At 44.4% G+C, this 12,027-nt stretch overlaps 1 pseudogene across 1 annotated transcript in view; it reads left to right on the top strand.

The window, feature by feature from the left end:
- LOC101928195 (methylenetetrahydrofolate dehydrogenase (NADP+ dependent) 1 like pseudogene) overlaps positions 1 to 12,027 on the top strand; it is a 40,305-nt pseudogene that overhangs the window by 5,021 nt on the left and 23,257 nt on the right. The gene's annotated exons all lie outside the window — the stretch shown is intronic.

Raw genomic sequence — 12,027 nt, 5'->3', positions numbered from 1 at the left:
ATAATAATTTTTTATAATAAACCATGTGGCTCTATTGTGCAAACAAGCAATAGACAGACAAAAAGTGCAGATTCTTGCCTTGATATTTACATGCTTCATCTAATATTGGACACAATGTTTTTTCAATCAGCATCATTTGAATTCTTCCTGCATGTGAGGCACAGAGATTTTAAGATGAGCAGGTGTGAGATGCATGGATTTGAATAGCATAGAGGTATCTGGAGAGCATTGTGTTGGTATTCTGAATGCCCTCAGATCCCAGGGGGATAACAGCTCATTATGCCTGGGGTAGAACTTACCTGGGCTGTGGAAGAAGAGGGGATTCTTCAAAAAGGGCTCAACCTCTGAACTGGCAAAACAGTGAGTTTTGACTCAAAGGCACCAGAGTACTAATACATGACATCCTCTCCTGGGGTGATCCAATGTGGCTGGAGTTGGATGAGGTGGGGAGGCTGGGGATGGGAATGGGAATGGGATTGGGATAGCAGGACGGGGTCACATGGCCAAGGATCTTGAAGACCATCTCACGGAACTTGAATCTGATCTCTACACACTGAGGAGCCACGGTAGGGTGGGTTTTTTGTTTGTTTCTTGGTTTTTTATTTTTTTGATTTTTTGTTTTTAAAGAAGGAGGAGAAGAATGTGGTCTGATGTGTATTTTAGAAAAATAGCTCTGGCAGCAATGTGGAGAATGTTTAGTGAAAAGAGAACCAGGCCCAGAGAGGTGGGTTAATTCAGCTGGGGCCAGAGGAAATCAAGGTCCGCACTTTGGCCACAGAAGTAGATACAGAGAGTGGGGGTGAATTGCAGACATACTCTAAAAGTATCCTCCTACAGTAGGGGCCGGGTGAAGGGACTGTTCTAGCTTGGTGACTGGCTGGTGATGCCATCACCGTGTCATGGAAAGGACACGGGAGGAGGCAGATTGGCCAAGCCAGAAATGAGCCTGGCTTGAAGAGAGAGAGCTCAGAGGGTTAATAGGATCTAAGGAACAGTCTGTGTCTCCACTGGAAATACAGATACAGCTCTCCAAAGAAAGGGGCAGGAAGGTCGCCCTGGTGGGTTTAAGGATATGGGTGAAGGCACTCATTAAACAAGAGACACAGGGATAGCTGGAAATCAGTGAGAAGAGAGTAAAGGAAGACACCCCTGAAACACCCACTTTAATGCAGCCGACTCCTGGCAGGGGTGCCTTCCAGAAGGCAGGAAGGAAGGAGCAGGGGCATGGCAGAGAACGTCCAGAAAAATCCCACAGACACCGCTCACAGCAATGTTGACACAGAGAGAAGGGTCCAGATGAAATGGGTTCTGAATGACATTTTCAGGTCTACAGTTCAGATCAGCAGTTGCCAGGAGTTGGGGGAGGGAAGTGTTTGACTGCAGAGGGGCAGGAGGGAACTTTTTGGGATAATGGAAATATCCTATGTTTTGACATGGTAGTGATTCCATGGCTATATACATTCTTCCAGACTCATAGACCTATACACGTGTGTTGCCCAGGCTGGACTCAAACTCCTGATCTCAAGCAATCCTCCCACCTCAGCTTCCCAAGTTGCTGTGACTATAGGTTTGTGCCACTGTGCTGGGCCTGTGTATCATTTAGTTATACCTCAGTTAACAAAAATGGGTACTGAAGAGCTTGCTGTATATTCCTTAGAATGGCCTCAGTCAGCCGGGTGCAGTGGCTCATGCCTGTAATCCCAGCACTTTGGGAGGCCAAGGTGGGGGGATCACAAGGTCAGGAGTTTGAGACCTGCCTGGCCAAAAGGGTGAAACCCCATCTCTACTAAAAATACAAAAATTTGCTGGGCATGGTGGCGGACACCTATAATCCCAGCTACTTGGGAGGCTGAGGCAGGAGAATTGCTTGAACCTGGGAGGCAGAGGTTGCAGTAAGCCAAGACTGCACCATTGTGCTTCAGCCCGGGTGACAGAGCAAGACTCCATCTCTAAATACATACATACATACATACATAGAATGGCCTCAGTGATGGCCACTTTACTCCTGAGCTTTAGTTGGCAAAGGCCTTGGCTTAGGGATAAGAGGGTGGCTGGACAGTGCAGGCCCAGAGAGACTGGACCATCAGGGGAAGTGAGGGGTGATGGAGGTGCCCAAACAGAGCATGAAATGGTAGAGTAGATGAGAAGGTTAGCCTCTATCACGATCTGTCCTGTCCTACCCTCTGCGGACTCTAAACCCCGCAGCAGTTCACCCAACAAATTCATTCACTCGGCCAATGCTGCATAAGACACTCAGCTCGGGGCTACAGGAAGCCCCAACCTAAAGAAACTTTCTCTGCTTCAGGTAGTTTACAGCTGGTAGACGCAGATAGAAGTGAATTAGCAAAGAAAATAGTTTGATATAAAAATTGTGCATTTAACTGCAACCTTAATTCACTTCTGAGCATTTAATAGCCATTAAACAAAAACCAGGGCCCACACAGTGGTTCACACTTACAATCCAAGCACTTTTGGAAGCCAAGGTAGAAGGATTGCTTCAGGCCAGGAGTTCAAGACCAGCCTGGGCAACATAGCCAGACTGTATCTCTACTTAAACCAAAATTAGCCAGGAGTCATGGTACACACCTGGAGTCCCAGCTACTCAGGAGGCTGAAATGGGAGGATTACTTGAGCCCAGGAGTTTGAGGCTACACTGACCTATGATCATATCATTGCACTCCAGCCTGGGAGATAGAGTGAGACCTCTGTCTCTAAAAAAATGGAATAAAATAATAAAAAACACAATATAATTTAAAATCTTTGGAGTCACTAAACAAATATACAATGTGAATCTCCTCCCACTCCAGCTAACACTACCATATCCAACACCAGGTAAAGACCAAAGCCGTTCTGGGAAATCAGAATCTGTTGCCATGGCTCATGCCTGGACACCAGGCTGTCCGCTCCTGATGTCACTCTTTGACTTATGACTTGTTAGAAAATGAATGCGTGGAATGGCCCTGGAGGAGCCGCTGCAGCTCTCTGGGTTTCCTGAAGTGAGCCCTCTGTGTCATTATCTGGTCTTCTCAGCCCTCAGCCGAGTTCCTCCTGTGGCCACATGTGGGGTCGCAGTGAGCATCAGTGCACAGTGATAAAATCTGGAACAACAGGGTGTTGGGTGTGAGGGAAGGGAGTGGTGCCTGACTACAGAAGTTCCTGGAGGTCAGGAAACTCTCACTGGAGGCAGTGGCCCTAGAGGGCTGCTTTCTATGACAGAGCAGGAAGCTGCATGTGTACTGGGACACATGCAGCAGAGGGGCCAGGATCTCCTAATAAGGACTGGTATTTACTTTTACTTGAACCCATTCTGGGCCTTACCACAGTGTGCTGAAATGCCTTGAACATTCATCACCCATGTGGGAGAAAGGATAGTAATTTCCTGCTGAGATGACTGAGGGGACAGGGAATGGGGACACCAGGGGGACTGGCTCCTGCAGGTTGGAAAATTCTAGCAAAACGAATCACTCTTCTGCTTAGTCACCCAATGTGCGCTTATTAGAGTGCTGCTGAAAAACATATTCGTCTATCCATTCCAGAAAGATAGTCCAAACTGAGACCTCAAGATCAGAAAGGCTCCCAATCTCCTGCAGGGTTCATTCATTTACTCAGTGAATTATTAAATGCCTACAGCACGCAGGGCCATCAGCCCAACGGCTATGAGAAAGAGATTCAGTCCTTTCCTCACAGGCCTTATGATAGACTCCAGTAAATAAAACAATACAGGCACAGAATGTGGCAGGCTTTATAAGAAAGCCTCTCTTTTTGTGTCCTCAAGGGAAGCAGAGAATCTCCCCTCTGGCTCTAGTTGGAGAATCCCAACCCAAGCAAGTCCATCTTTGAACAATAAACATCTCCAGTACTGCTGGCTTTGGAAGACCCCATGGTGAGATGCTGGAGCTTTTTTCCACTCCTGATTTCACTTTCTAAATATTTACTTTTACTTTCCATGTTCACTTGTAGGCCAGATTTTTTTTTCCTACCATTGAATTATTTCATCATGTTCTATTTAATTATTGTTTTAATTGGCATTGGTGACCACAAATAATAATAAATACTATTAACTGATGTAACAGCTTCACTAGTCTATTTAACTTCCCCATGCTGTTGTAACTGAAGCACCCAGCACAAGCATTCCCAGCTCGTGGACGTCTAAGACCTTTGAGGTCATTCTTACATGCATTGCTAGTGTTTTCCATATTCCTTGATGGTAACCAATTTTTCCTTCCTAAAATAACTTTCTTCATTCCTAGTAAGCTTCATATGTATTTTGTGTATTCTTCCCTCTTTTTTATGACATTATACATATTATTGAAAGCTAGAAAATAATACAAGATGCTTGACTGACATAATACCACTTAGTACATCTTTTTGTAAGAAATAGATTTTCTAATACAAATCTTTGATATAGGAAGAAATGAGCAAGTGTTTTTTAAGGTTTTCCAACCCTATATTCTACTACAAATTACCCTGTTATCGTATGCTTCCAAAATTCTTTCAAGGATTACAGTTTATAGTGTTCAATAAACCTAATAGTTTATAAAACTTCTCAAAAAATAATCTCATGCCAAAAATAATTTAGTAGTAGGTGGTCTTTGTCTTGTGGTCACATTGTTTTGATATTGTCTTTAAGTTTCTGTAATTTACAAGGGCTGTTTAATCAGTTGGCATAAATTTCATGACAAAAATGCTAATATGTAAGCAAAGAATATGAAATGATATTTTTGAGAAGTAAATTACATTCCATATAGAAAAAGACTAGAAAGACTACACCAAAACCTTAAATTAGACAGTGATATTATGAGTAGCTTTTTTTCTTCTCTTTTTTGTATAGATCAAATTACTACGTTGGGTGTATATCACTTTTATAACATGAAAATACAGTAAATAGGGCGATGATAAACTGCAAGTGCTTGGGGAGAAGGCTTAACTCAGGCCAGTTGCAAGAGAGTGAGAACACACACGCAGCCTGTGGGAGCGGGCTCCGTGCCATCACCTGGCCGGTCCTGGCTGTGTTGCTGTGTTTTCGCACCTCAAAAGTTGGGACAGCAAGGAAAGGCCATAAGAGCTAGAATGTTTCTATAAGAAGTGTATTCAGTATGATTTGTCTAGCTCTGACTAATGTGTGCAAACCCCAGATTCCACTAAGCAAATGCAAGATTGTTTTTCCCTGTTAATTTTTTCCTGGGCCCTTCTTGCTTACTGTGTTGGGCATTGGAGAGGGGGTGATTGACTTCTTTCTTCTCACAGTGTTTTCTCTCGCTCTCTCTTTTTTTTTTTTTTTTTTTTTTTTTTTTTTTTGAGACAGAGTATTGCTCTGTCACCCAGGCTGGAGTGCAGTAGCATGATCTCGGCTCACTGCAACCTCCGCCTTCCAGGTTCAAGTGATACTCCTACCTCAGCCTCCCAAGTAGCGTGGACTACAAGTGCATGCCACCACATCTGGCTCAATTTTTATATTTTTCATAGAGACTGGGGTCTCACCATATTGGCCGGGCTGTTCTCAAACTCCTGACCTCAAGTAAGCCACCACGCCCAGCCATCTCTCACAGTGTTTTTTAAAACAACAATGCATTTTCACAACAGTTGGCCTGGAGAGGTGTCCAACCAAGTTGGAATTCATAGCAGATATCCATTTGAAGTTAATTTTTGGTGTATTTGACTGTTTTCCATTGACTTCACATTGAGGCAGTGAGAGAGACTTGAAGAACTTAGAATATGAACCCTTTTCTCACTGGCAAACATGGGACATAGAGGCATGTCTTGACAGCAATTTATGGCAACACTCTGGGCTGGAATCTAGGGGTTAGGCAGCCTGGCCGGTTTTGTAAATTAGTCAGGCCACCCTCAGAGTCAGTTTGAGGGTTTAGTGGGAAGCCTGAATAAAAAGAGAAGTTAAACTTTTAAGAAAAGGGTCAAGCTTTAAAACTGGAATTGGCTTTTCAAATTTAATGAGTAAAAAGAAACCCCAAAACTGGAATTGTAATTGTGGAGAAGTACAAATTATAATATTTGGAATATCATCTACAAGGAATGAAACTATCCAGAAGCATTTAGATGGTAGTCATTGATTGTAGGGCATCTCTGGGGGCAGGGTGGCTCCTGGCACTGTAGAGAAAGACCATCGGTGCTTCCGTCTCCCAGTTGGAGGAAAGGGATACACTGTGGAGGTCCCAGCAGCTTAGGGCCTGCCCCCATGTGGTTATGTCTGCATGGTTTCCTTCCCTCTGTCTTCCTGTAACTCTTTCACCCTGGCCCCTGTGCCCTTTCTGGGCAGAGGGTGACAGGAGGCACTGCATGGGTGCATTCTTTTTTTTTTTTTTTTTTTTTTGAGACAGAGTCTTACTCTGTTGCCTGGGCTGGAGTGCAGTGGTGTGATCTCGGCTCACTGCAACCTCCATCTCCCAGGTTCAAGCGATTCTCCTGCCTCAGCTTCCCGAGTAGCTGGGATTACAGGTGGCCACCACTACGCCCAGCTAATTTTTTCCAATTTTAGTAGAGACGGGGTTTCACCACATTGTTCAGGCTGGTCTCAAACTCCTGACCTCGTGATTCACCCGCCTCAACCTCCCAACGTGCTGGGATTACAGGTGTGAGCCACCGCCCCCGGCCAAGTACATGCTTTTTTTCCTCTTGTTGGGATTGGCCTGGGCTATACCTATCTCATGGTGGAAGCCTGCCTAGGGACCAGGCCCTAGAAGACCAGCAGTTTATTTAACTGGGTTGGCCTTTGTCCCCACTCCCTGTGACCCGGCCCTGCCATATCTTTACCCAGGTGCACCACTGACATCATGGCTCGGCTGGACTCTGGAAAGCAGGAAATTGCTGGAGCATGTTTGGGCATCAATGATGTCATCCGCTACGAATGCCGGGTGGGGTTACTGGACTGAGGGCCATGAAAAAAGAAAGCTGCGGCCCTGCCCCGTGGACTCACTGCCATTCTGTTCTTTCTCACGTTTCAGTTCAGCTCACTTTGTTTTCCGTCCCCCTCCCTCTACTGTAAAAGTATGTACTCAGTGTTTCATTTCCTGCTGGATCTGATTCAGGTCAGTGATGAAGTTCTTTGCGAGCTCAGTGGGGAGGCGTTTCCTCCCTTTCATACCGGCCCTGCTTAGGGATGCATGGTTGGTTATATACTTGCTTCACTCGGTTAGGCATGGAGGAGAATTCATTCAGACCTCATAGGTTTAAATCAAATGCATGACCCTTCACATTTTCCAGAGATTTAGACAGTTACAGTGAGACAATTAAACATTCACCCCCCAAGCTGCACTTGGAGATGTGTAAGCAGTAATGTAGTCATGCGCTCCCCATGATATGAGAGTGTGCAGAATGCCACGCCCCACAGCAGGTCCACCAGGACCTCCTCAGGGAGCATCTTGCCTACAAAATCACCCATCCCTTTTCCCCCACTTTCTTCACTTTCCCTACGTTTCCACTCCCACACCCACAAATAAACAAAGAAACTTTGAGCTTATTTTACAAAAGTCTTTGAAATGGCCCTCCTCTCTCCGATGCTCCTGGGCCCTGGTTTGGCCCCATCTGTGCAGTCTCTCTGATGAGTGTGAAATAAGCCAGGTTTGGCTCATGCTCTCCCTGTGAGCTTGCTCTCCCCGTGAGCCTGCCCTCTCCATCTGGCCTCACTTTGTTTGTGTCCCTGGGTCCTTTGTCTCTGATCCTGGGATCCTGGTGGTTTCCTCCTCCCCGCCCAGCTTGGGTCCTTTTCCCCAGGGTTCTTCCCTATCTCTACATCAGAATTTCCTGCTTTCTCCCAAATATGCATTTCCCTGGCCCAGGCATCCATTGCTTCCTCTCATCGTGAGGTCCCTGCAGCAGACTGCCAATGGTGTTGTGGCCATGCCTTCCTCCACAACCCAGGGAAAGCTACATGTGTGTCTGTCCCATAGGGAAGGAGTCATCCCTGTCTCTTCAGTGTGGCATGTTCAGGAGGAAGGAAAGTAACCAGCGTCATTCTCAATTTACGGAAACTGTTTATCATATTGACAAGAAGAAGAAAGCTTTGCGACTCATGAGAATGATGTTTTCTTCTCTGGTACATAAGGTTATGTAGGTCCAATCCATTGTGTAGAAGATCTTTTCTCCCTTAATGGGATGTACACTTATTTTTAGCACAAGTATAAAACTACTTTAAATGAAGTCAGCCTCAGCCAGGGAAATATGCTGAGTAATAATGTTGCCAGGTACTATACCACTGAGTTGAGTTTGCAATTCACTGCTATTAATCCCTGCATGTTAGTTCTGAATTTTTACTCTTTGCATACGTAGAAAAAATGGTGTTTCTCTTCAGAGTCAAGGAGGGAAAAAAGAAAAGTTAAAAGACACTTATAACACTTTTGTGTCCACCCCTAAAATCAGCATATTGATCTACTATTTTTCTAGGTATTGATGGAATATTGACTCATATACTTTCATACAACTGCTAATATATATATATATATAGACTCATTTTTCTTCTTCCACTTTCATCTACAGCCTATTTGTTTTTCTCCCCCCATTTTTCGTTTGGATTCATAGCATAAATTGACAACAAAGATACATCTCAATTTAGAGCTTCCAAAAGGCACCCATAAAAGTATCTGGTGCTCATGGAATTTCTCTTTCTTCTGTGTCTCTTAGTTACACTTTTCTCTTATTACACTTTTCTATCCAGCCGCGGCTAAGAGGCATATAATCAGAAGCAGCTAAGCAATGTATGCAAGGGAAATAAAATGAACACAAACCAAGATAACCGGTTTTGTAAATTAGATAGCAAGGCCACCCTCAGAGTCAGTTTGAGGGTTTCGTGGGAAGCCTAAGAAATATAACTGATATAACTGATATATTATCAGTTATAAAAAAAGTTATAAGAAAAGGGTCAAGCTTTAAAACTGGAATTGGCTTTTCAAATTTAATGAGCAAAAAGAAACCCCAAAACTGGAATTGTAATTGTGGAGAAATAGAACTGATAATATCTGGAACTTGCAGCAGTTTACAGGCTTAACTATGCATGTGTTCCTTAAATTATCCACCCGCAGATATCAGATTACAATAAGTCCTCACTTAATGTCATTGATAGGTTCTTGGAAACTACCACTTTAAGCAAAAGGACATAATGCATACGAAACCAGTTTTCCCATAGTCTAATTGATAGGAAAAAGAGTTGAGTTATGAAGCCACACAGTACCTCGTTTGGCTTAAAGTCACTGTTTCCAAGAACATATCCACAATGTTAAGTAAGGACTTACTGTAAATGAAAATATTTGCAGTAAATCGCTTTTGAGAGAATTGGTTATCACACTCTTCTCTGGGTATCACTGAAAATTCAGAATGTTTAGTTACATCAGGCTATACTCACTGGTATGAAATCAGGGAGCAAGTATAAAGTAGGTGTAGGGAAATAATTTATGTTGGATTAAATGATCCAATGAAGGAATTTTATTAAGCCCCTAGAAATCCCAGAATGAAAATGTATAACTGCATGACTAACCCCTGTAAGAATTTGCTGGGGTTTCTGCATTATGTACGCTTCCCAGGCCATTTGTAATGAAGCTACCGTGATCTGTTAAGGAAGAGACCTACACCTGGGAACATAAACAGCCAATTCCATCCTGGACATCAGTCTCCTGTTTGACTCATTCCAACCCCAAGAATATGTTGTAGAGTGTAGGACCCATGAAAGTTACCTACAGTGCTTCCCTGTACCTTCCATCATCCAGTTCCCAAACATACCTGTGTTTCTTCTCTGAATGCATAGTTACTTGGGATCCCATGTTGTATTAGTCTGTTCTCACACTGCTGTAAAGAACTACTTGAGAGTGGATAGTTTATAAAGAAACAAGGTTTAATTGACTCAGTTTTGCAGGCTATACAAGAGGCATGGCTGGGGAGGCCTCAGGAAACTTACAATCATGGGGAAGGCAAAGGGGAAGCAAGTACATATTCACATGGCGGCAGGAGAGAGAGTGAAGGGGCAGTGCCACACACTTTTAAACAACCAGATCTCAGAACTCACTAGCACGAGAACAACAAGGGGGAAATTCACCCCCATGATCCAGTCACCTCCCACCAGGCCCCTCCTCCAACACTGAAGCTCATAATTCATCATGAGATTTGGCTGGGGACACAGCGCCAAACCATATCATATGCCTTTCCCAGGACTGGTGTTGGAGGAACAGTGCCTTTGTCACACCTACCAGAATATACTCACCCACTTCCAGACACTCCATTTCTCTTTCAAGCACACCTCCTCACTTGTGCTGCCAGCTAAGGTTTACTGCAGTTACTTCCTTTGTGTGTCCTCTTACCTTACCAAGTCGCCTCACCCACCACCTACTGTTAATTAAATTACCACCTCCCCCACTTCCCCACCTCCAGAGTAGAGACTGTCTCTTCAGTTCTCTTGGCCTTCCCACAATGGGAAGTCTGGTGTGGAACATACCCTAGGAGCCAACTAAATGTGGTAGTGGCCTGCCAACCCTGCAGAGGGCTAGCAAATCTTCAGGGAGTCTGCTGCCGGTGGAAACTCACCAGTACTAGAATCCCAGGCTCCAAAGAAGTCTAGAAAAGTACGTCTTTTAAGGAGCTAATAAGAGGTTCAAGTTTCCACAAATCCTATCTGCTCTTGGCCTAGTTCTTTTGGGATCAGTGTGCTAGTCTCTCTTGTCAAACTAGTTACTGACCAGCAAGACTAAAAAACCAGGCCCAAACACATTCTATTCATGTGCTTAGATATAGACCTATGGATCAAATATCCCACTGTAAAGCAAAAAAGCAAACTGTTTTTCCCTTGTACTCTCACACTCAACAATAGCACACTTCTGTGGCTGGCTGTGTGGGGGCTTTTCCTTACACACCAAACATTTCTCACAGAGACCAACTGGGTGTCCTCTTATTCAATTCAATCCTGACACTGTCTACCTGCAGATAGTGTCCAATCCCACAGATTGACGGCTCGATCCCATGAGACCAGCCCCACTTCAGGCACTAATTCCAAGTCCAGGCGACGCATACTTCTGACTGCCTGGCTAAAAACTACATCCACGGCCGGTCATGGTGGTTCACGCCTGTAATCCCAGCACTTTGGGAGACCAAGGCGGGTGGATCACTTGAGATCAGGGGTTTGAGACCAGCCTGGCCAACATGGTGAAACCCCGTCTCTATTAAAAATACAAAAATTAAACTGGGCACGGTGGCTCACACCAGTAATCCCAGCACTTTGGGAGGCCGGGGCAGGCGGATCACGAGGTCAGATCAAGACCATCCTGGCTAACACGGTGAAACCCCATCTCTACTAAAAATACAAATAAAAATTAGCCAGGCATGGTGGCGGACGCCTGTAGTCCCAGCTACTTGGAAGGCTGAGGCAGGAGAATGGCCTGAACCCATGAGGTGGAGCTTGCAGTGAGCAGAGATCATGTCACTGCACTCCAGCCTGGGTGAGAGAGCGATGCTCCATCTCAAAAAAATAAATAAATGAAATAAAATACAAAAATTAGCTGGGTGTGGTGGCGGGCTCCTATAAGCCCAGCTACCAGGGAGGCTAAGGCAGGAGAATCGCTTGAACCTGGGAGGCAGAGGTTGCAGTGAGTTGAGATCCTGCAACTGCACTCCAGCCTGGGAGACAGAATGAGACCCCATCTCAAAAAAAAAAAAAAAAAAAAAAAGGGTTCGCATGAGCCCCCTCCCTGGGTTCAATTAAGTTCCTAGGATGGCTCACAGAACTCAGAGAAACATTTACAGAGCTGTTATGATATATATTGATTTTCATTGATGAACATTGATGCAAAAATCCTCAATAAAATACTGGCAAAACGAATCCAGCAGCACATCAAAAAGCTTATCCACCATGATCAAGTGGGCTTCATCCCTGGGATGCAAGGCTGGTTCAATATATGCAAATCAATAAATGTAATCCAGCATATAAACAGAACCAAAGACAAAAACCACATGATTATCTCAATGGATGCAGAAAAGGCCTTTGAGAAAATTCAACAACCCTTCATGCTAAAAACTCTCAATAAGTTAGGTATT

The sequence above is a fragment of the Homo sapiens genome, chromosome 9 (genome assembly GCF_000001405.40).
Source record: "Homo sapiens chromosome 9, GRCh38.p14 Primary Assembly".
NCBI classification, from domain to species: domain Eukaryota; kingdom Metazoa; phylum Chordata; class Mammalia; order Primates; family Hominidae; genus Homo; species Homo sapiens.
The sequence above is the reverse complement of the archived record's forward strand: the minus strand, read 5'-3'. Positions and strand labels throughout refer to the sequence as shown.